Genomic DNA, 26,337 nt, shown 5'->3' with positions numbered 1-26,337 from the left:
TTCTTGTAACCTTTTATCAAGGTTCTTAGCTTCCTTGCATTGGGTTAGAAAATGCTTCTTTAGCTCAGAGGCATTTGTCATTACCCCCCTTCTGAAGCCTACTTCTGTCAATTCATCAATCTCATTCTCTGCCCAGTTTTGAGATCTTGCTGGAGAACAGTTGCTGTCATTTAGAGGAGAAGATGTATTCTGGTTTTTAAAATTTTCAGCATTTTTGCTCTGGTTTTTCCTCATCTTCGTGGATTTATCTACCTTTAATCTTTGAGGCTGATGATGATTGGACGGAGGTTTGTGTGGGAGTCCTTTTTGTTGATGTTGATGTTGTTGCTTTCTGTTTGTTAGATTTTCTTCTAACGGTCAGGCCCCTCTTCTGCAGTTCTGCAGCAGTTTGCTGGAGTTCCACTCCCCCGACCTTGTTCGCCTGGTTATCACCAGTGGAGGATACAGAACAGCAAAGATTGCTGCCTGCTCCTTCCTCTGGAAACTTCGTCTCAGAGGGGCACTGGCCTGATGCCATCCAGAGCTCTCCTGCCAGCACAGCAGTCTGAAGTTGACCTGAAATGATTGAGCTTGGTGGGGGAAGAGTTGCCCGCCGTTACCAAAGGCGTGAATAGGCGGTTTTCCCCTGATAGTGCTAAGGAGGCTGGCAGGTTTGGACTGGGTGGAATTCACCACAACGCAGCAAAGCGGTGTCTGTCAACCCATGTTGGGAGGACTCTCCCAGTCAGGAGGCACAGGGATCAGGGACCTAACTGAGGAGACAGTGTGTCCCTTAGCAGAACTCGAGTGCTTTGCTGGGAGAATCCTCCTTGTCAGGATCAGCTGCTCTCCTCAGAACCAGCAGGAAGGAAAGTTTAAGTCTGCTGAAGCTGCATCCACAGCCGCCCCTTCCCCCAGGTGCTCTGTCCTACGGAAATGGGAGTTTTATCTGTAAGCCCCTGTCTGGGGCTGCTTCCTTTCTTTCAGAGATGTCCTGCCCTGTGAGGAGGACTCTATTCAGGCAGTCTGGCCACTGCTGCTTTACTTTGGTGTGGCGAATTCCACCCAGTCCAAACCTCCCAGCCTCCTTAGCGCTATCAGGGGAAAACCGCCTACTCAAGCCTCGGTAATGCCGGGCGACCCTCCACCTACCAAGCTCTATCATTTCAGGTCAACTTCAGACTGCTGTGCTGGCAGTGAGAATTTCAAGCCAATGGTTCTTAGGTTTCTGGGATGTGTGGGAGTGGGACCCACTAAGCGAGACCACTTGGCTCCCTGGCTTCAGCCCCCTTTCCAGGGGAGTGAACGGTTCCATCTCACTGGGGTTCCAGGTGCCACTGGGGTACGTATGAGAAAAACTCCTGCAGCTAGCTTGGTGTCTGCCTAAACAGCCGCACAGTTTTGTGCTTGAAACCTGGGGCCCTGGTGATGTCGTCACCTGAGGGAATCTCCAGATCTGCCAATTGCAAAAAACCGTGGAAAAAGCATAGTATCCGGACCAGATAGCACAGTCCCTCATGGCTTCCCTTGGCTGGGGGAGGGAGGTGCCCCAGCTCCTTGACTTCCCAGGTGAGGCAACGCCCCACCCTGCTTCTGCTTGCCCTCCATAGGCTGCACCCACTGCCTAACCAGTCCCAATGAGATGAACTGCCTACCTTAGTTGGAAATGCAGAAATAACCCACCTTCTGTGTTGGTTTTGCTGGGAGCTGTAGACCAGAGCTATTCCTATTCGCCCATCTTTCCAGATCCCACATCATTTGGCATGAAAAATCTGTATAAGAATTATGGAGACAGATATAATGTTTAGTTCAATTCCCTGGAAGCTAAGGTATAAGACAGAGATATCCACACTCTTGCTGCTTTAACCTCACTAAACATTGACAACTTCTAGGATTGAAGCATCAGTAAGCTCTGGGAAGGCTTATATCCTTGGTGAGTAACTACTTTCATTTTCTAGGAGTCAATACAGGCCAGCCAAAATACAATCTTCTTCCATTTCAAAGATAAATGCCTCTGCGTGGAACAGTGAAAGTCCTCAATTTACTCTGGGGGAAAAAAAATTCTGTAAAGTTTTGAGTATTTGGAGCCCCACTAAATCATCTCAAAAAATTCTCCTTTCTAGTTTAGGGGATATGTTAAACAGAGAAAAGACAGATAGGAGGAAACATTTATTGAAGGTTCTGCAAGTTGGGTGTGGTCCTTAATGCCCACAATAATTCTACAAAGGAGGTATTGTTTGCCTTTCCCATTTCAGAGGAAGAAACTTAAGGCCCAACAAATTTATGCATTGAGCCAAGGACAAGAAAGAAATAGCAGAACAAGATCTAAAAGACAAATTCCTTCGACTTCAGAATTCATGACTTTTCTACTAGCCCAGGTTACATTTTGTTTAACTGCCAAATCACAGTGCATTTGATGTCACAGATGTTGTGCTCTCATTTTGCAGCCTTCTGTCCTCAGGAAGACTCAGGCAGCATGTTCCTCTGTTATTGAACGTACACAATATTGTAATTAATTGTTTACCTATCTGGCACTCCCAATAAACTGTACTTCTTATGCATAAGAACAATATTGTATTACTCCTATTTACAAATACCCTAGCATGTAGTACACCCAAAATATTTGAATTGTCAATTTATCCAACAATGTATCTATGGAGAAGGTAAGAATATAAATCCACAGGATTTAGGAATAGCTATTAATACAACCAGACTTATAGCCTGTTATGAATTCAGTTTATGAATCCTTAGACAAATTGTGATTTATTCATTGGTTTAACAAAAATTTATTGAGCAACTACCATTTTTTCAATCTCTGTATGAGACAATGGGTATACACTTGGAAATTCAGAGAAAGGCAACATTCCTGCCCTCACTGAGCTTTCATTCTAGAGAGAGCATTAAGCAATAATAAATAAACAAATAAAAATAAATGCAGCTTGTGACAAAAAATAAAATAGGAGGAAGATAGCAGCCAATTTAGGTAAAGTGAGCAAAAATGGCCCTTCTAATGAGATGATAATTAAACTTGAGTATAAGGCAAGGCAAGTGCAAAGACTGGTAGGATGTTTGTGTCTTGTAGGAATTGTGATAAAACAATAAAGCTGAAGCACAGTGAGTGAAGGGAAAGGGGTTTGAAATGAAGTAAGAGAGGTATTCACTCCCCAGACTACGCATGTCCATGGGGGGCCATGATAAGGTATGGATCTTATTACCATAACCACCATGTGTCCACATGTTGATAAGAGATAGCATCCTCAAAGAGCAATCAGAAAAAGGTTGATAAAATCAAATTTTTAATACATGTCCAGAAGAAAAAGAAAAAATATCAAAAAATAATAAAATTGTATTAAAAGATAGATAGACAGATTTCAATATATTCTTCCATGAAATCTTTCTCCTTTGAGGTCCTATGAAGTGAAAGAAATTCAACCATAGGAATATCTGAACACAGGTAATTAACAGGAGAGGGCAGAGCATTACATCAGAACAGAGAACTGTGATTGCAGTGCCAAATCAGATCAGCAGACATTCAAAGCAGGTTAAAGAAATATTAGAAAGGCACTGCAGTAACACAGTAAAAATAGGGAGATGTGTGTTTAACAAAGTGGTTGGGAGAAAAAGTGTTTTTTAATTCCCTCATTTCTATATAAAACGTATGTCAAAATATAACTTCTCCAAGGCTTCCCATCAAAAATAGCATCAGGACGACCTTTACGAGTTCAATCTGGAGCCACAATGTCAAATATAGTATCACTAGTCGCATGTGGCTACTTTATCTAAAATTAAATAAAATGTAAAATTCACTTCCTCATTCAAACTATCACAGTTTTCAAGTGCTCAATAGCCATTCATGTTTAGTGGCTACTATTAGACAGCACAAATCTATAGATACACATATTTCCATCACTGTAGAAAGTTCTCTTGGTTAGTAATGATATTTGTGGACTTGATCCTGTCATTGTGCTATTAGCTGGTTATTAGTTTGGCTTCTTCGTGTGGTTGCTTTACAGTGACACTGGAGTGTGTGTTTAAGTGTGTTTTTGTATTGACTAGTAGTGGTCATTCCTTTCTATGTTTAATGCTCCTTTCAAGATCTCTTGTAAGGTAGGCTGGTAATGAATTCATTTCTGGTAATGAATTCCCTCAACATTTGCTTCTAAAGGGTCTTATTTCTCCTTCACTTAGGAAGCTTAGTTTGGTCAGATGAAAAATTCTTGAAGACTTTTTTCTTTAAGAATGTTGAATTTAGGCCCCAAATCTCTCTTTTTTTATTATTATACTTTAAGTTTTATGGTACATGTGCACAATGTGCAGGTTTGTTACATATGTATACATGTGCCATGTTGGTGTGCTGCACCCATTAACTCGTCATTTAACATTACGTATATCTCCTAATGCTATCCCTCCCCCTCCCCCTCCCCCCACCCCACAACAGTCCCCGGTGTGTGATGTTCCCCTACATGTGTTCTCATTGTTCAATTCCCACCTATGAGTGAGAACATGAGGTGTTTGGTTTTTGTCCTTGCAATAGTTTGCTGAGAATGATGGTTTCCAATTTCATCCATGTCCCTACAAAGGACATGAACTCATCATTTTTTATGGCTGCATAGTATTCCATGGTGTATATGTGCCATATTTTCTTAATCCAGTCCATCATTGTTGGACATTTGGCTTGGTTCCAAGTCTTTGCTATTGTGAATAGTGCCGCAATAAACATACGTGTGCATGTGTCTTTATAGCAGCATGATTTATAATCCTTTTAGGTATATACCCAGTAATGGGATTGCTCGGTCAAATGGTATTTCTAGTTCTAGATCCCTGAGGAATCACCACACTGACTTCCACAATGGTTGAACTAGTTTACAGTCCCACCAACAGTGTAAAAGTGTTCCTATTTCTCCACATCCTCTCCAGCACCTGTTGTTTCCTGACTTTTTAATGATCGCCATTCTAACTGGTGTTAGATGGTATCTCATTGTGGTTTTGATTTGCATTTCTCTGAGAGGCCCCCAATCTCTTCTGGCTTCTAGGGTTTCAGCTGAGATGTCTGCTGTTAGCCTGAAGGTGTTCACTTTGAAGGTGACCTGAGCTTTTTCTCTACCTGCCTTTAACATTCTTTCTTTCACTTTGACCTTGGAAAATCTGATGATTATGTGTTTGGGGATGATCTTCTTGTGTACCATCTTTCAGGAGTTCTTTGTATTTCCTAAATTTGACCGTTGGCCTCTCTAGCAAGGTTGGCAAGGTTTTCACGGATGATATCCTGAAATATATTTTCCAAGTCGTTTGCTTTCTCCCCATCCCTTTAATGGATGCCAATGACTTGTAGATTTGTCCTCTTCACATAGTCCCATACTTCTCAGAGGTTTTGTTCAATCCTTATTCTTACTTTTTCTTTATTTTTGTTTCTTTTATTTCAGAGAACCAGTCTTCAGGTTCTGAGATTCTTTCCTCAGCTTGGTTTATTCTGCTGTTAATACTTGTGATTGCATTGTGAAATTCTTGTATTGGATTATTCCGCTCTGTCAGAGCCATTATGTATCTTTTTTTATATGGACTATTTCATCCTTTAGCTCCTGTATCACTTTATTGTAATTCTTATTTTCCTTGGATTGGGTTTTGCCATCTTCTCGAATCTCGATGGTGTTTGTTCCTATCTGTATTCTGAATTCTATTTCTGCCATTGCAGCCAGTTTGGTCTGGTTAAGAACTCTTGTTGGAGAGCTGATGTGGCCATTTGGAGGATGTACGACACTGACCATTTGAGTTACTGGAGTTATTCCATTGGTTCCCTCTCATCTCTCTGTGTGGGTGTTCTTTTAACTGTGGTATAGATGTAATAAAGTCAGTAGACTTGTTTTCACTGGGCCGAGGCTTTGTGTAGGGTCTTTATTTGAAGCTGACTTCTTGTCTCTGGTTTCAGAGGGGGATATGTCAGTGAGTTATTTTTGGTGTTGACGCTTTGGGGTGTGATCCAGCAGGTGGCACTTAGGTTATTGGTCAGTTGGTAGACTCTTGCTTGGTTGTGTGGTTGCCCTATGTTTCCTCACAGTTACAGTCATTTTCCCTCTCGATGCTCTGAAAGTGTGGGTTCCTCTTCCCCTTAAGTGCTGGCTGTAAATTGTGAGATGCACTCTTAGGCTGTCCACTGCATCTCTGGAGTGATCTCAGTGTTTATGTTCCTTCCCCAACTTAGAGGCAGGAGAAGAAGAGATCTTAGTAGTGGTTGTTGCTGAGGGTCATTTGCTTGTCCCCTGGGGACTCTACCTCAGAGAGATGCAGGTAAGCAATTGCTCAGTGCAATCAGCCCAGGATGGAGGGTGTGTGCTGTGGACTCAAGCCGAGGGTTTTCTGTCTAGTGATGAGTAGTTTGTGTGTGTGCATGTGAAGGGGGGTGCGACATGTATAGCATCTATGGGAGATGAACTAGTCTCCTCTCTTGGGTCAAGAAATAAAGGGCATCCAAATAGGAAAAGAGGAAGTCAAACTATCTCTGTTTGCAGATGACATAATTCTATATCTAGAAAATCCCATGGTCTTGGTCCACAAGCTCCTCCAGCTGATAAACAACTTCAGCAAAGTTTCAGGATACAAAATAAATGTAAAAAATCACTAGCATTTCTATACACAAACAACAACCAAACTGAGAGCTAAATCAGAAAAGCAATCCCACTCACAATTACCACAAAAAAAATAAAATCCCTAGGTATACAACTAACCGGGGGGATGAAAGAGCTCTACAATGAGAATTACACTGCTTAAAGAAATCAGGGAAGACACAAACAAATGGAAAAACATCCCATGCTCATTTTTAGAATCAATATCATTAAAATGACCATACTGCCCAAAGCAATTTACAGTTTCAATGCTATTCCTATCAAACTATCAAGGACATTCTTCCCAAAACTAGAAAAATCTATTTTATAATTTATATGGAATCACAAAAGGGCCCAATAACCAAGGCAACCCTAAGCAAAAAGAACAAAGCTGAGACATCACAATACCTGACTTCAAACTACACTACAAGGCTACAGTAACCAAAACAGCATGGTACTGGTACAAAAACAGGCACATAGACCAATGAAACAGAAGAAGGATCCCAGAAATAAGACTGCATACCTATGACCATCTGATCTTTGAAAAAGCTGACAAAAACAAGCAATGAGGAAAAGACTCCCTATTGAACAAATGGTGCTGGGATAACTGGCTAGCCATATGCAGAAGATTGAAGCTCGACCTCTTCCTTACACCATACATAAAAATCAACTCAAGATGAATTAAAGACTTAAATGTAAATCCACAACTATAAAAACCCTAGAAGACAACCTAAGCAATACCATACTGGACATAGGAATGGGCAAAGATTTCATGACAAAGACACCAAAAGCAAACACAACAAAAGCAAAAATTGACAAGTGGGACCTAAAAAAAATAACTATCAACAGAGTGAGCAGACAACCTATAAAATGGGAGAAAATTTTTGCAAAATATGCATCCAACAAAGGTTTGATATCCAGAGTCTACAAGGAACTTAAGCAAATTTACAACAGAACAACAACCCCATTTAAAAGTGGGCAAAGGACATGAATGGATACTTCTCAAAAGAAGACATACATGCAGCCAACAGCAAATGAAAAAAAAAGCTCAATATCACTAATAATTAAAGAAATGCAAATCAAAACCACAGTGAGATATCATCTCATACCAGTCAGAATGGCTTTTATTAAAACGTCAAAAAATAACAGACACTAGAGAGGTTGCAGAGAAAAGGGAATGCTTATACACTGTTGATGGGAGTGTAAATTTGATCAACTATTGTGGAAAGCAGTACGGTGATTCTTCAAAGAGCTAAAAGCAGAACAACCACTTGACCCAGCAATTCCATTACTGGGAATATACCCAGAGGAATATATAAAATTCTATCATAAAGATACATACACACATATGTTCATTGCATGATATGGTTTGGCTGTGTCCCCACCAAAATCTCATCTTGAATTCCAGCTCCCACAATCTCCACATGTCATGGGAGGCACCTGGTGAAAAGTAATTGTATTATTGGGGCGGGTTTTTCCTGTGCTGTTCTCGTGATAGTCAATAGGTCTCACGAAAACTGATGGTTTTATAACAGGGAGTTCTCCTGCACACTCTCTCTTACCTGTCGCCATGTAAGACATGATTTTGCCCCTCCTTTGCCTTCTGCCATGATTATGTGGCCTCCCCAGCCATGTGGAAATGTGAGTTAATTAAACTTCTTTTTCTTTATAAATTACCCAGTCTTGGGTATGTCTTTTTTAGCAGCATGAGAACAGACTAATACATTGCAGCACTACTCACAATAGCTAAGACATGGAATCAACCTAAATGCCCATCAATGACCAACTGGATAAAGAAAATGTGGTACAAATCCACCATGGAATACTATGCAGCCATAAAAATAATGAGATCATATCTGTTGCAGGAACATGAATGGAGCTGCAGGCTATTATCCTTAGCAAATTAATGCCAGAACAGAAAATCAAATACTGCATGTTCTCACTTATAAGTGGGAGCTAAATGATAAGAACTTATCAACACAAAGAAGGAAATAATAGACACTGGGGTCAACTTGATGGGGGAGGGTGGGAGGAGAGGGAGAAGCAGAAAAGGTAACTATTGGATACTGGGCTTGATACCTGTGTGATGAAATAAAATGTACAACAAACCCCGTGACACCTGTTTACCTATATAACAAACCTTGATATGTAACCCCAAACCTAAAATAAAAGTTAAAAAAGCAAAGTTCTATTGGATAGAACTGATGGAGAATTCATAAAAGTTAGCATAATCCCTCACATAGAGTAGATGCTCAATAAGTATTTTTAAATCATTGGATTAAGCTGGATCCAGAATAAGTAGGAAAGATAGTTGGGGGATTTGCTTGTAGGAAGCAAATATCTGCTACTGAAACTTTAGCAAATCTATTTATAATTGAGACTATGCCAACAGATTTGGTAATAAATCTTTCTCCCTGAGTTGTTAATTTATGGTATTTGTGGAATCTCATTATTGTTCCTGTTGTTATTTTTATAACTTAGAACTTCCATTTCTTTGAAAATAAAGGCAGAGCAAGAAAATATGTTCAGCTACATGCTGTCCTTATGTCTTTCTTGTATCAAGAATCCTGTATGTGTTCCTTCCAGAGAAAGACCATAGGATATCTATCTTCTATCTAATGTCAGGCAAGTCTATGTCCAGTTGCTATTCCTCTTGCCCACCTTACAGGGTTTTTGTGAAAAGTAAGTAAATAAACATGTGAAACTTCTTTGAAAACCATAATGGTCATTTTATAAAAATTATTCTTGTAATTTTTTCAGGGGCAGTCAAGTTGCTTATAAATCACCTGTTGGAGGTTGGTATGGCTCAAAATATTAAAAGTCTTTCCCAAGCTAATAATTAACTTACCTGTTCTGTTGCTTATTTAATTGAAACACCTGTCTGTTCTGTTAATGTTTAAAATCATTTGGAATACATCATTTATGTTTGTTTGGTTCTAATGAAAACACTGGAGCCCAGGTCCATTATCCTGTCTCCTGTCACCTGCTCCTGGCTCTTTCTACCTCTGCTTGAGTTTCAGAATTGTGCTTGTCCTCACCCTGCCACATCTTTAGGAACAAAGTTTTGGGTCTGGAGGTGAAGAAAGCTATCTATATACAAAAGAAAATATCACTTTTTAAAGTATTCATTTGACAAGAAAAAATAGCAAGAGAAAAGGGAGAAATTTTATCATCACTTCCATAACATCCAGCCCCAATATTATTATGCTGATGGAGTTATCATTATTATTAGTATGCTTAATTATTCTATTTAGATCCCATCTTGATACATCTGATATATTTATATTTAAATTTTGTATTAATCTTACCCTTTGGTATTTTCAAAGCAATGCATAGTTAACTTAGCATTTTCACATTTATTATCTCATCTGAATCTCTTAGCTACCTTCTGAGTTTGGTAAGGCAAGTACTTCTATCTAATTTCTTCTCTAGGCTCAGAGGGGAGAAGAGATTTGCTCAAGGTCACATGACTGGTAAATGTTAGAGCTGGGACCCAAATTCCACAGATGTTAACCAGGCAGATTTCAAATCACTCATTGTGTGGAAATCAGTACACATATCTTGTTTTCATTTGCCTTAAAGCTTTCAGTGTTACCTCTTAATTAAGTCTCTGTAAATGTTTTCTGTTATAAATCTTATAAACTTATAGAAGCATTAACTTCAAAAAATATTTTTAAAAATATATTCTCTAGATCACCCACTCTACATGCTAACCATGGATTGTAAAATAGCCTGAAAATGCCAACTAGGAAGAGGAAGCTCACAAAGTCTCCCTTCAATAGAGGTTAAAAAAAAAAAAAAAAAAAAAAAAAACCTTCACAGAAACATGAAATCAAATCAGTCCCTAGTGTAAAAGTATGTTTTGCTATAAAGATTTTTTTCTATTCACGCTAAAAAGATTAAAATACTGTAGACAAGATAAATTTTCAGGAAATGGAAGTAAGGTCACTAACAGACACTGCACAGAAATGCCACAAGCCCCACTGGCACACACACAAAATGCGATTATTCATAAGGCTGACTTTTTAACACCTTCTCATTGATTGTTGTAGGAAAGCAGCCTTTTGGCCACAACACGTAACACCACAAATAAGCTGATCTGGGGAGGAGTTGTACTCTGACAAAATTCTTTTTGCCTTCTGTAGCTCCAAAAAGATGGAATGTGAAAAGTGGGCAGAACTCCTACTCACTAATGGGATGAGACAATGTAACAAAGTAGGCAGAGCATGGGATTTGGACTCAGAAAAACTGGCTCTTACAACAATTAAAAATTGAACTGTTTTAGTACTCATAACCAAGTATAGCTATACAAATGAATAAACAGACAGCAAAATATTTGAAGGTTGAGAAAATGGGTTTGGTCGACCGAATTAATCTCCTGTTGAACAAACTCTCTAAAACTATATCTTGACTCTCTTTTGCAATGGTGCTTAAAACTTTTTTTGTTCCAATCTAGAATGAAACAGCTTGTAATCTGAACAATAAAATAGTTTAGCTCAGCAACTCCTTAGCAGAGATGAATCTATAAATATATCATCAATATAGTTAGAACCTGGTTATTAATATTCCTCCAGAGGAAGTTTCTCTCTATTATTTTGCTACGCACAAAGGTATTTTCCCATGACTTTAACTGATCAACATTTTGAAGATTTTGTTTGAAATGCTCGAGGATATTTTCAAGGGTTTCTCATGTTCTTATCAAAATTAGAGTTGCCTGCTAACTAATGACTTGGGTATTGTTCATTGCAACAAGAACGCATACTTTTAAAGGTGTAGGATTGTCAGAAACCTGGGATTGAGTGCTAGTCTTGAAATTAATTGCCCCATAGTATTTTGCTTTTACAGCCAACTGGACTACTAAGAACAGTTATAAGAGCAGACTGTAGGCTTAGCTGACCTCAACCTGGGGTGACTGCCACAGTGACACCATTGTGATTGGAATTAAATATACAATGGCCTGCTTTTCTCATTCCAAAAGTTGGGTTATTGCCATATTTAACCCACACACGGAATTCCTCCACTCCTCCCACTTCATTCATTGTCCCCCCACCCCGATTTTGTATGCATTCACCTCCTCCAATAAAATTATAAATTAGAATTTAGACAGAACAACACTATATTTTGCTTATCTTTGCCTATATACATTTCAGTCCTTTGTAAATAGTGTTTGTATTAAATGCTTGTTAAATAAATAAATGAATGGCATATTTCTGTGACCTTGAATAACTCATTCTTTACCCCTATACCTTAGTTGCCCTGTATATTTAAGTAAAGGTATAGAGATTGAAGATATGGTGTAAAAGTAAAGTTATTTTTTTAAGCCATTAAGTTTTAATCAAGTAATTTTAAATGCATATGTTGCCTAAAATGACTTATTTTTATTTTTATTTTTTTAGCACCCATCAGTAGTTTTTCAGTTTGCTACATCTGACCACTCCACTGCTTCTGAGGAAACAGCTCCTTTTGGTCCTTGTTCTATTCATTAGTCAAAAATATTTATTAAATATTTTCTATTTGATATGTTTTGTTGTATCTGTGTACCCGGAGCATACATTATACTAGGGAGGAGTCAGTCAGTAAGAAGTAAAAATCTAAAATAAAGCTTAGTATACAAATCATAAGGTAATTTTTGATAGTGATAAGTACTATAGGGAAATTATCAGTTTTCTTCTAGAAACTTTGTAGTTCTAGTTTTCACATTTAGGTATTTGATGCATTTTGAGTTAATTTTAGGATATGTTGTGATGTGTGAATCAAAGTTTTGGGTTTTGTTTGTTTGCATATGAATATCCAATTTTTCCAGCACCATTTGTTGAAATGACTATTCTTCCAGCACTGAACTGCCTTTGAAAATATGTCAAAAAATTGTGGTCTATATATGTCTATGGGTAAATTTTAGATTCTGTCCTCTATTCAATTATCTGATCATCTATTTTGATGCCAATAATTTTTTATAGTAACTTCATAATAAGTCTTAAAATTGGGTGCTGTTAAACTTCCAATCTCGTTTTCCCTTTTCAAAGCTGTTGTGGCTATTCTAGATTTGTTGCATTTACACATGAATCTTAGAATCAGCTTGTTGATTTCTACAAAAAATAAATCCTGTTGGGATTGCATTACATTTATAGATCACTTTGGGGAGAATTGATATCTGCCCCTGCCATAGAGATCTGTGGAACTTTGAACTTGAGAAAAATGATTTAGGGTATCTGGCAGAAAAAATATCTAAGTGGCAAAGCATTCAAAAGGAAGCAGAGCGTAAAAGTTTGGAAAATTGGCAGCCTGATGATGTGATAGAATATAAAAGCCCATTTTCTAGGAAAAAATTCAAGCCTGCTGCAGAAATTTGCATAAGCAACTGGGAGCCAAATATTAATCACCAAGACAATGGGGAAAATGTGCCCAGGGTATGTCAGAGACCTTCACAGCAGCCCCTCCCATCACAGGCTTGGAGGCCTAGGAGGGAAAAATGGTTTTGTGGGCTGGGCCAAGGGCATCTTGCTCTGTGAAGCCTGGGGACATGATGCCCTTTGCCCCAGCTGCTTCAGCTTCCACTGTGGCTAAAAGTGGCCAAAGGGGCCAAGGTACAGCTCGGGTCATTGTTTCAGAGGGTGCAAGCCCCAAGCCTAGGTGGCTTCCATATGGTGTTAAGCCCATGGGTGCACAGGAGTCAAGAATTGAGGTTTGGGAACCTCTGCCTAGATTTCAGAGGATGTACGGAAACACCTGGATGTTCAGGATTTTTTTGCAGGGGTGGAGCCCTCATGGAGAACATCTGTTAGGGCAGTTCAGAAGGGAAATGTGGGGTTGGAGCCCCCACACAGAGTCCCCACTGGGGCACTGCCTAGTGGAGCTGTGAGAAGAGGGCCACCATCCTCCAGACCCCAGAATGGTAGATCCACCAACAGCTTGCATCATGCAGCTGGAAAAGCCACAGCCCATGAAAGCAGCTTGGATGGGGGCTGTACCCTGCAAAGCCACAGGGGTGGAGCTGGCAAAAGCTGTGGGAGCCTGCCTCTTCCATCAGTATGACCTGGATGTGAGACACGGAATCAAAGGAGATCATTTTGGAACTTTAAGGTATAATGACTATGCTTTTGGATTTCAGACTTGCATGGGGCCTGTAACCCCTTTGTTTTGGCCAATTTCTCCCATTTGGAATGGGTATATTTACCCAATGCCTGTACTCCCATTGTATCTAGGAAGTAACTAACTTGTTTTTGACTTTGCAGGCTCACAGGCGGAAGGGACTTGCCTTGTCTCAGATAAGACTTTGGACTTGGACTTTTGGGTTAATGCTAGAACAAGTTAAGACTTTGGGGGACTGTTGGAAGGGCATGATTGTGTTTTGAAATGTGAAGACAAGAGATTTGAGAGGGGCAGAATTATATGGTTTGGCTGTGTCCCCACCCAAATCTCACCTTGATGTAATCCCCATAATCCCCATGAGTCAAGGGCAGGACAAGGTAGAGGTAATTGGATCATGGGGGTGGTTTCCCCAATGCTGTTCTCATGATAATGACTGAGTCTGATGAGATTTGATGGTTTTATAAGCTTCTGTCATTACCAGAACTACAACTAGAATATCTAAAATAATTTTGAAAAAGAATAAAGTAGGAAAAATTAGTCTGCTCAGTATCAAGACATTAGTTAGCCACACTAATCCAGGTTGTGTGATATTGATGGAGGAACAGATACATAGATCAATGCAACAGAATCCAGAATCCAGAAATCAGTGCAGTTGACTTTATAATGTTACAAAAGCAATTCAGGGGAGGAAACAGCCTTTTCAACAAACGACACTGAAGAAACTGGACATGCATAGGCCAAAACAATGAACTCCAACCTAAACCTTACATCTTACACAAAATTTAACTCAAAATGGATTACAGAATTAAATGGAAACACACTTGTACCTTCAAACATTTTTATAATACTCCACTCCTCAACCTTCGCCAACTGACATTTGCTTATCTTCAAATACCATTGCTGCAAAGGGGCTTTCATGAATTAACTTGTTTAAATGAAACCTTCTCTCTACCCTCATTGATTTCTGTCATGGCATCTGTTGATTTTTCCTATAGCTTTTCTCTCTCTCTCTCTCTCTGACTCAGTCTTACACTGTCACTCAGGCTAGAGTGCAATGGTGCAATCGTGGCTCACTGCAGACTTAAACTCCCAGGCTTAAGCGATCCTCCCACCTCAGCTTCTTGAGTAGCTAGGATTACATGCATGAGCCACCATGGCTGGCTAATTTTTTAATTTTTTGTAGATATTGGGTGTCATGATGCTGCCCAAGCTGGTTTTGAACTTCTGGCCTTAAGCAATTCTCCCACCTCAGCCTCCCAAAGTGCTAAGATTACAGGATTTATCTTTTGATCCATTATTATTTAGTTTTATTAAATGTGTATTTACTTGATTACTGTTTGACTTTCTCACCAGGCTCTAAGTCTCACATCTACAAGAACCGTGTCTATTTTTTTTCAGGAATGTGTTCCCATCATCTGCCATTATGCTAGGAACACAGTGTATGTGCCAAGAAATATCTTTAGACAAAATAAATGAATCAATCTCAGATGGCCAAGGAGGACCTTGTAAAAAGAGTCAGAAGTCCAATTGTGAGGAAAGAACTCCGGGGTTTCCAACTGAGTTTGGTTACCTGGTTCCCACATTTAATAATTCAGTTAAAGTAAATGAGTAAATTATTTAAACTCTCTGAGCCTCCAAGGATTTATAGGTAATGAATGAAATAATAAATATAAAGTTTACATGGTATGCATTAGATAAAATGTTGGCTTCCTTCCTGAGACAGGTTGACTTCTTTTTGACCCTAAATACAACAGAATGAATATCTGAGCAAAACTCTTTAAATTCGTAAATTCATGTGGAATGCACACAACAGCTTCATTTGAGAACATCTGCGGTTATTTGCAAAGGAGAATTATTAGCCCCAAAACAGAACTAAAAGAAATGATTTTTCCTAAATTACATGATACTTGATAGGCATAAGGAAGATAGTAATTTTAAATGGCCCACTTCTCTTTAAATTACACACATCTTTGTCTTCAGCACAGCAGTTTTTGGTTTCTTATGTCTATCTTGGGGAGAATGATGACATAGGTCAGGGGAAGGAAGATACTGCCAAACAACTACATTCCACCTGCTCCCTGAAAAAAAAAAAAAAGTATGTCTTTAAAGTGTCTTGATAGCCTTTATTGTCAGTAAATCCTCATCAGGATTTCATTCCTTCTGGGTGATTCCTCTCTAAAGAGAGTAATAGTGGCCCTTGAACTGACTGACAAAGGATTTAATGAACCATTTCTGACCTGTTCCACAGAAGGAAACCTTGCTCAGTGGACTTGGAAAGAACGTCATTTCTTTGTGTTCAATGTCAAATACCCAGGGCTTGGTAAAATGTTAGCCATATGGTAGGTGATTCACAAATATTTATTGGATGCACAAATAAGCAAATCAAGAGAACCTGGGTTGCAGAATCAGATTGTCAACTCAGTAAAGACCCAGAAGGTGACAGTAAGAAGGGGCTATCAATAAAGACTATTCTAACCTTGTTATTTAGCATTTTACCTATTCTCCCATGTATAATAGACCTAAAAAGAGGTCTCTGTTTAAAATGTTCCAGATATGAGAAGCCAACTTCAGGCAAGCCATTTCATCTGCATCCCATTTAAATCACTAGTATATATTTTTTCCTCCAGAACTCGAAGTCGGCCTTCCTTTAACTTATCTATAGACCCTAATTCTGACCTCTCTTCCACAAATAGCTTATCAAAAGTTTCAAGGAAGCTATTAAGCTCCTGATATTCTAAGGTTAATTTAAACACTCAACAGCCTACTAAAAAGGGAAAGGCTTTTTAAAACTAGCTTCTGGATAAAGACATCAGGATTCATACTCAGTGAACACAAGCTGGCAAATAAAAAATCTCAGGATGGTGGTGAGAAACCAGTATTTAACTTTACCTTTTAATAAATGTTTTGTTTTAGATGTACTGAATTGTGAAAAGAGTGCAGAGTTCCCATATACCCACACAACCAGATCTCACATTATAAATATTTTATATGAATACATTACATTTGTCATAATGAGCCAATATTAATACATTATTATTAACTTTGGTTTTCATGCCATCAAGTATTGAAAAAGGGCAGGTTTTTTTCCTAATTTTTTATGGCAACCTGTATTGGCCCCTAAATTCACAGGAATGGAGAGAAAGGCAAAAAGTCAGTTTTGTAATTCTTATTTAAAAAATAAAAATAGACTAGGCACGGTGACTCACGCCTGTAATCCCAGCACTTTGGGAAGCTGAGATGGGAGGATCACTTGAGGTCAGGAGTTGGAGACCAGCCTAGTCAACATGGCGAAACCCTGTCTTTACTAAAAATACAAAATTTAGCCAGGCATGGTGGCCTGCACCTGTAATTCCAGTTACTTGGGAGGCTGAGGCATGAGAATCACTTGAGGCTGGGAGGCAGAAGTTGCAGTGAATTGAGATTGAGCCACTGCACACCATCCTGGATGATGGAGTGAGACTCTCTCAGAAAAAGGTAAAATAAAACATTATGGACTGTGCTTATAAGCCAGAAGACTTTTATTTTAAACTCACAATTAGGCTAATAACACAGCTCGGTTTATAGCACATTGTCATTTATTTTGCTTTGCAAGGGAAAGAGAAAAATTATTTATAATTTTTTTTCTTTCTCCATCCCCATTCCCATTTCTTCCATTCTCCAGCTCTCATTATAATACATAATATATTCCAATCCAACTTTATAAACTTATTTAGATATGTGCATATGCTTGTAACACATTATTTTTGTTGGGGGTTGTTATAATTTTACTCAAATGGTACATCATACTGACTGTAAATTATATTATTTCAACAATCTTCCTTAACACTATGTTATTTTAGATCATTCTCTATGTAAATCTATAAAGAGGAAATTTCAGCATAATATATATATATGTACACATATGTGCATTTTTTTCAAACATATTTAGAGGCATGTATATACACACATACATATGCATATGCACATATATATATATACATACATATATAGTCAATCCTTATTTGCAGTCTTTATGTTCTAAAAAGCCACTGTGGATACTGAATTAGTAAATACTTACTCATTACTTTTAGAGGAAGTACAGGGTTAGGTTCCCTTGAGTCTCTGGTCACAATATTTTTATCAATTGATCAATACATAACCTTGTATTATGTATATTTCTGTTTAAAGACATTTTAATATATATTGTTGATTCATCAACATTGAACTCACAGTCAATGGCAAGTCTGAACCACACATATCTAACACACTTATTTTTTTCTATAAGGCACATCACAGCCTTCTTGTACTTAGGAATGCCAGACAGCATTATGCTTCAGGGCAGCTTTAAACAGCAAAAAGAAATGCAAATCAAAACCACAATGAGATACCATTTCACCCCCGTTAGAATGGCAATCATTAAAAAGTCAGGAAACAACAGGTGCTGGAGAGGATGTGGAGAAATAGGAACACTTTTACACTGTTGGTGGGACTGTAAACTAGTTCAACCATTGTGGAAGTCAGTGTGGTGATTCCTCAGGGATCTAGAACTAGAAACACCATTTGACCCAGCAATAACAAAGGATTATAAATCATGCTGCTATAAAAACACATGCACACGTATGTTTATTGCGGCACTATTCACAATAGCAAAGACTTGGAACCAACCCAAATGTCCAACAATGATAGACTGGATTAAGAAAATGTGGCACATATACACCATGGAATACTATGAAGCCATAGAAAATGATGAGTTCATGTCCTTTGTAGGGACACGGATGAAGCTGGAAACCATCATTCTCAGCAAACTATCGCAAGGACAAAAAACCAAACACCGCATGTTCTCGCTCATAGGTGGGAACTGAACAATGAGAACACATGGACACAGGTAGGGGAACATCATACACCGGGGACTGTTGTGGGGTGGGGGAAGGGGGGAGGGATAGCATTAGGATTTATACCTAATGCTAAATGACGAGTTAATGCATGCAGCACACCAACATGGTACATGTATACATATGTAACAAACCTGCACATTGTGCACATGTACCCTAAACTTAAAGCATAATAAAAAATTTAAAAAAATAAACAGCAAAATCAACATAAAGAACAGAAATGCAATAAATGTGGCACTGAATAGGCCACGAAAAGGACACTTGTTTATCTTATGACAGACAAAACACAAAGAATGTGGCCGTGTTCGACCTCAGCTGGGAATATCCACATTGAACAACTCAAAGCTTTCCCTTCTCAGCAAATGTCATGTCCATAATGACTGTGAAAGTGCCAAGAGTATTGATTTGGGGAATACTAATAAATTTTAGCAAGTAGACAAATTTACAAATATGGAATCCATAAATAGTGAAGAACAACTGTACATTTACATATATAATTATTTTTGAAGCTGCCTAGTTTTCTATTGTATGCATATGCCACATGTTATATATTCATTTTGCTAGGATGACCAATTGAAGGATTGCCTCCAACTCTGCTACCAAAAGTGACTACTGCAATAACCATTTTTGCACATTTATCCTTACAGACCTGTGTGAGAGGTTTTCTGTATACAGATGAAGAGATTTCTCGATTGTACATTATCCGCGTACTGAGTTCCACCGAGCACTACTGGCTGGTCCTTTCAAATGACTACATCAATTTGCACTCCCACCAACCTCAGGATACCCATTTCTCCCACATTTTGCTAGAGCTGATACTACCTGACTTTCTAATGTTTAATAAATCTTTGGGTGCAGGAGAGTGTTTCTTGATTTTAACTTGCATTCTCTAAATACCTGTCAAGATCTCTTCACATGCTTATTAAATCAGCATCCACCGTTCTGCAATAGTTTAATCCTATCGTTTACTCTTCTGTTGAATGTCTTGCATTTATCTTGCTGATTTCCAGGCAATTCATGTATACACTAAATATTGATGCCTTTAAAATTTTATAGACATTGCAAATATCTTCTGCTAGTCACCTATCTCCACTAAATTTTGTCTATGTATAATTTACTGAAGAAAAAAATTGAAAAGTAGATGTAATCACATTTGTCATTTTTTTGTCTTTATGTTTGAACTTGAGGATCTTGTTTTAAATATCCTTCCCTATCCTGAGGTCACATTGTCCTAAATTTTCTTAAATTACTAGGTATTTTCTTTTATTTTATATCATATTTATTTTGTTTTTCATATTTAGTAACTGTAAATAATTTTAATATAATAGACGATAAGTATCCAACCTAATGTTTTTAAAGTAGAGTAGCCAACTATCTTCACATATTTGCATTTTTATTAATTACCAATTTGTTTAAACATGAGTTTGTTTCTGAGCTGTCTATTCTGTTTCTTTTGCCTATTTGCCTGTTGCTGCAGCAATACATCATTGTTTTGTTACTATATATATTTTGGATTATTTATTAGTATGTGAGACTGGCTCCCTCTATTTTATTCTAATTTTTCAATATTGTTTTATCCATTTGAGGAAGTTGATTCTTCCATATACAGTTTTAAAGTAATTTTCCAAGTCACTCCTCCCCCTCCAAATTATGCTGGAATTTTGGTTAGAATTGCTTTGGATTTATTAATACAGAGAAAATTTATGTTTACAATGCAAAATTATTTTCTCAGGAATGAGGTATATTTCATTTTTAGATTTTTCTTTTAGATCCTTTAAAGTAACTTTCACATTGTCTCCATAAAGTTTCTAGTAGACTTTGTTAGACAACCCCTAGATACCCCACAATTTTTATTACTTTTATAAATGATATTCAGTCTACATTTCCTAGTTGGTTATTAAGAAATCCTATTAATCTGTTTTGCTGATTGTTGATCCAGTATTTTCGTTGCCATTATATTATTGATCTTAGCAGTTTAATGACTTTCTTACATTTTGTAAGTTTGTTATCTCTCAATAAATAATTTAAAACATTTACCTCTTTTTTCCCATTTTTATACTTTATGTGTCTTTTTATTCTATATAGCTCTAGTCAGGATCTGTAGTTGCTGTGTAGTTTGCCTGAGGCTGAAAAGGGTTCTGGGACATGGGACTTTAGCTTTAAAACTCTAACTGTGCCATTCTAATCATCCAGTTTGCCTGGGACTGAGGAGTTTCCCCAGACACAAGATTTTCAGAGCTAAACTCAGAAAAGTCTCTAGCAAACCTGAGTTGATTACCCTACCTCTAAAAATCAGTTGACTAGTAACAGGAAGACTGAAAATTATTGTCTTTTTTCTTACATTAAATGTAATGTGGCTAAAACATTTTCAGTAAAAATGTTTTTCATATGAGGTTTTTTTTTTTGTTTTTTGTTTGTTTGTTTGTTTGTTTTTTGTGATGGAGGTTGGAGTGCAATGGCACGATCTTGGCTCACTGCAACCTCTGCCCTCCTGGATTCAGGCAATTCTCCCACTTTAGCCTCCCAAGTAGTGGGATTACAGGCACCCGCCATCATGCCCGGCTAATTTTTGTCTTTGTGTAGAGACGGGGTTTCACTGTGTTGGCCAGGCTGGTCTCAAACTCCCGACCTCAGGTGACCCGCCTGCCTTGGCCTCCCAAGTGCTGAGATTACAGGTGTGAGGTTGTCTACCATTTTGTTGACATTTATCAATTTTTTTTCTACACCTATCAAGATGATAGATTTTGTTCAGTGTTGAATCATCCTGGCATTTTTATAATCAATGCTATTATATCATAATGCAATTATAATGCATTGCTGTATTTACTTAGTTAATTTTTGTATATTTACATCTATGTTCTTAAATGGAATTGGCCCATAAACCTAATTTCTCACATTTCCCTTTTATTTTTTATATTTTAATATAATAATGTACATAAGAAAAATTATATGATTCTTGACAATTTGATTGAATCCATCTGTAAAACTATTCGGTATTGGAGGCCAAGGGACATTTTGAGAATCCATTTTAATCACTTTGGTGGTTATTAATCTATTTTAATTTCCATCTGCTTTTGTTCATTTTGTTATTTGAGGGGAAATTTGTCTTCTACATCAATGTTTTCAAAATTATTTAAGTATTATTTTCATATTTTAATGATTCTTAAATCTGTATTCTATGTGTATTTATTTTCAATTTTCACTCCATATTTTATTTAAATATCTTGTCAATTTTTTCTTATTAAATCCCACCAGTGGTTTATTTGTCTTTTAAAAGAACAGGGGTTTTTTGAAATTGTTACCCTCTCTAATTTTCTTTATATAATCTCATTTTATTCAATTCTGCCTTCACTTTTATTAATTTCCCTCTTGTTTCTTACGATTTATTCTGTTGTTCTTTATTTCTTAAGTTGAACACTTAGCTAATTTATTTCAGTAGTTCTTATTATTTGCTAAATGTTCTAAGTCCATTAATTTCTTCCTAATCTGCCTCCCCAGGTATTGACACGTAGTGCTTTCATTGCTATTTAGCCTATTTTAGTTTCCCTTATTATTTTTTCTTTTTATTGTTTATTTAGTATATTTTTAGTTATTTAGCTATGTTAGTGTTTAAGTTTTATTATTAGTTTCCATTTTTCTTAAATTACAGACATATTTTATGTCATGAATGATATTAATTTGGGGAATTTATTAAGACTTTTATTTAGTCTGCTTTATAAGACCTTCTATACTCAATAACAATTTTTTTTATTTTATTTTATTTCTTAGAGACAGGGTCTCACTGTGTTGCCCAGGCTAGGTGAAGTGATGCAATCATAGTTCACTGTAGCCTCAGCCTCCTGAGCTCAAGCAGTCTTCCCATCTCAGCCTCCCAAGGAGTGAAGACTATGGGCACATGCCACTCTACCTGGCTAATTAAAAAAATTTTTTTTTGTAGTGATAGGGTCTTACTGTGTTGCCCAGATGGCTCTTAAATTGCTGGTCTCGGACAACGTGCTGCTATTAAAGGCATGCCCAGTTGGTAATTTTAAATAATAGCTTTAATGAATATAGTTCAAAGTCATTTTCCATCAACAATTTGAAAATATATTTTTACTGTCTTCTTGCAGCAAGTGTTACTATTGAAAAGATTATCATCACTTATTTACTAGGGGTCTGGTTTTTCCTCTCTGGAGCTTTTAGAAACATTTGTGGTTTTTCATGTCCTCAAATATCATTGTCATGGGTCTAGAGGTAGTTTTCTTCTTATCAGTTCTACCAGCACTCTATGATTCTTTTCTGCCTAAGGCTGCATGTCTTGTTCATTACTTCTACTACTTTCTCTCCTCTATTTACTCTTCGTTCTCTTCTGAAATTCCTTTTTATTTAGCTGTTGGCACTTCTATCCTCTCTATCTCTCAATATTTTATTCTTTCCAGTTGTTTGTCATTTTCTGATGTCTTTCAGGAGAGTTCCTCAATGTGATCTTCCAGCTCACTTGTTCGTTCTTCAGCAATATCAATCCTGTGAGTCAGCATATCCATGCAGCAATTTAGTTCAACATTATTATTTCGTTCTAATACCTCCAGTTGTTTATTTATAACTATCTGATCTACTGTTTCCAATTGTCTATCTTATCTCTGTGATAACATAGAATATGTTTACTTTAAAGCCTTGCTGTATGTGTTCCATCAATTTTGCATCCTCTTATATGTGTTCTACTTGTGCCTTTTATTCCTACAGCTTGTTCTCTTTAGATGTCTCATGATTTTTCTGTGACACCTTTTTTTCTTATTCCTCTGGACTAAGGCATGTCTTTGCCAATAAGTAAGTAGTGTTTCCCTGGGAATGGAGGTGAGATCCTAGACACTAGACTGAAACTCAGGGTGGAGACTCTCAAACAGATCAATTACCTAAGAGCCTCCCAAATACTCTTCTTTTGCATGTATGATGCAACCTTGGCACCTATTTCTGGAAACTGGGGATTGGTATATAAATATCCTAGGTGATTAATGTAGCTTTTTGGGGAGCTGAAAAGACCTGCAAAATAAATGAAAATTAGAAGGGTCTACCTGAAGAATCTTGGTAAATTAAATGAACTCGTTTCTTATTCTTATCACTTTCTTTGATACCTTCAGCTTTGCGATTGGCTTCATATGAATGTGTTCTATGAATGCTAACAGAACACACTGGAATGTGGCAAAGATTATTGATTTGCTTATACAAAGGTCTGTCTTAGATATGAAATTTATTTACATATTGTCCTAAATATTCCCCAGAGTTATCCCTAATTTTGAGGAAAAACCAGAAAACCCTTTTTTTCTAATCAGCAATAGGAGACAATCTAAAGATTTGTCCAGTGGGTTAAAAAAAAAAAAAACCTCTATTAGCTGAAACAAAATGTATAGGCTATAATGGAAATTGGTTACCTGCCATAATACAGCTTTCATAGAACAAGGAAATGAAAGGATAGTTATACAATTATGAATATTAGATATCTGACTAGGGCAACTATGGTACTCAATTTCCTGTCAATAAAGCAATAGTAATATTTGATCCACATATGCCCCCATATTAATGGTAAAATAGCCACTTTAAAAAGGAATAAATTTCATGAGGCATTTATGGCCAAATGGCTCAGGGCAGAGGCATTCTTGTCAGTGAGCTAAAGTTTCTTTGCTGATACTTCACAGCTACATGACTGAACAAATGACTTCGGCCCCCTGTGTTTTTTTATTTTCTGATTTATATAACAGAATTGACAGCAGCACATACTCCCATAGGTATGCTGTAAGAATTCAAGGAAAAAGTTTGTATAAAACACATAGCACATTGTTACCATCCCCAAGACATTGCTGATTATTATACTGAGTAAACATGAATATCAAGCGCGATGTACAGATTTTTTTATACAATGGCTATTGTCTAAAGACTATTACGGGTTGAAGCAGCTCAAAGAAATGTTTTCTTTCCTTTAAGCAACTGAATAAGCATTTCAACTCAGAGCCAGTAGATAGCATGAAATTCAAACACGATTTAGAGTTCTAAGCAGATAAACGACGTGGTCAAAGTAAACGTACACCGATAGGCATAAAACAGTTTGAAAAGCAAAATCTTAATCACTATAATCTTGGAAAAATAGTTGATAGCATGAGCCTAGAAGCACATTTGGAATGTTTATTTTTTAAATCCCTTTTGAAGTAGCATTAAACGTGTAATTTATTCTTACAACCTCAAAACTACGGTACTATAGAGAAAAGATAGACCAGATTTTTTTTTTACAAGTCGATGTAATTCCTTATATAATTAGTGGTCAGTTGAAAATAACCTTAAAAAAATAGAATGGGATGGGACATTCAGCACACCATTCAGGGGTAGAGACCTCCTGGGAGGGGAGAGGGACTATAGTTTGGCTTAATCACCATAAGGCCAATGATTCAATCATTCATGCCTACGTAATGAGGCCTCTATAAAAACCCAAAAGTTCAGAGAGCTCCTGGGTTGAGCACATCAAGGTGTTGGAAGAGTGGTGTGCCCAGAGAGAGCATGGCAGCTCTGCACCACTGCCCCCACACATTGTCCTTTATGTCTCTTCCATCTGACTGTTCCTGAGTTGTATCCTTTATAATAAACTGCTAAACATAAGTACATGTTTCCCTGACGTTCATGATCCACTATAGAAAATGATCAAACTCAAGGAGGGGGTCTTGGGAACCCCCAATTTATAGCTGGTCGGTCAGAAGTGGAGCTCAGACTGGCAACTGGCATCTAAAATTGGGGCAGTCTTGTTAGACCAAGCCCTTAACTTGTGGGGATCTGAGGCTAGCTCCAGGAAGACAGTTTCAGAACTGAATTGAATTGTAGGACACCTAGTTGGAATCCGCAAATAATTGAAAAATTGCTTGGTGTGGAAAAAAAAAATATCCCAAACATTTGGTGTCAGAAGTGTGTGAGAGCAGAAGAGACCAACTGGGTTTTATTTTCCTTTTTCATAATTTGAATAATTAAGTGGAAAGAGGCAAAAAATGAATGTGAGCCAGTTGTGTGTGTGTGTGTGTGTGTGTATGTGTACATGTCTGTGCATGTGGTGTAAGGAAGAAAAATGGTCCCTTAAGATATTTATGTTTCACTACTCAAATTTGTGAATTTGTATGTTACACAGCAATTTTTTCACATAATTCTTTCTGTTCAGTTTCAGAGAGAATGAATGTTGCTAACCAGCTAAAAATTAAAAGGCAAGATTATCCTGAATTATTTGGGTGGATCCAATCTAATAACGAGTCCTTAAAAGTGGAGAACAGTTCACAGGGGGTCAGATAGATGTGATATGAGAAGAACTCGACCTGCCATTTCTGGTTTAAAAATGGAAGAAGGAGCCATAACCCAAGGAATACAATGGCCTCTGAAGGCAGGGAACTACCCTGAACTGACAGCCAGCCAGAAGAAAGGATCTTACTATCACTACTGCAAAGAATGAGATTCTGTTAAGAACCTGAGTAAGACAAAAGACCAATTCTCAGCTAGAGGATTCAGAAAAAAGTGCATTTTAGCCTTGTGAAAACTGTCAGTACCAAAATGGAGTCACTTATGTTAAAACCAAACTAAATGGAGCTGGGAGGTTATGAAGGCAGGGCTCTCATTTACAATTTACCTGATAGATTTTTTTCCAACCACAGCTTGCTCCATGAGTCACACAAGGACAGCTAACCATTTGTACAAGAACACTTGTCTGACACACTGTCTCCACTAATGAACTGACGTCAACTCCTGTAATAAAGCCCCTGTAACCAATGTTCTCTTTCATTCAAAACAACTTATGC

The 26,337-nt window shown here is 37.5% G+C and overlaps 1 long non-coding RNA gene across 2 annotated transcripts in view; it reads right to left on the bottom strand.

Moving 5' to 3' along the window:
• LOC105374510 (uncharacterized) overlaps positions 1-26,337 on the bottom strand; it is a 428,164-nt gene that overhangs the window by 349,357 nt on the left and 52,470 nt on the right. The window contains exon 2 of one of the 2 annotated variants that reach the window (XR_001741601.2): positions 1,663-1,751. The exons of the other annotated variant lie outside the window; for it this stretch is intronic. This is a non-coding gene — a long non-coding RNA (uncharacterized LOC105374510). The remainder of the gene's footprint in view (positions 1-1,662; positions 1,752-26,337) is intronic. 2 annotated transcript variants of the gene reach the window in all.

The sequence above is a fragment of the Homo sapiens genome, chromosome 4 (genome assembly GCF_000001405.40).
Source record: "Homo sapiens chromosome 4, GRCh38.p14 Primary Assembly".
NCBI classification, from domain to species: domain Eukaryota; kingdom Metazoa; phylum Chordata; class Mammalia; order Primates; family Hominidae; genus Homo; species Homo sapiens.
This window is presented reverse-complemented; position numbering and strand designations above follow the sequence as displayed.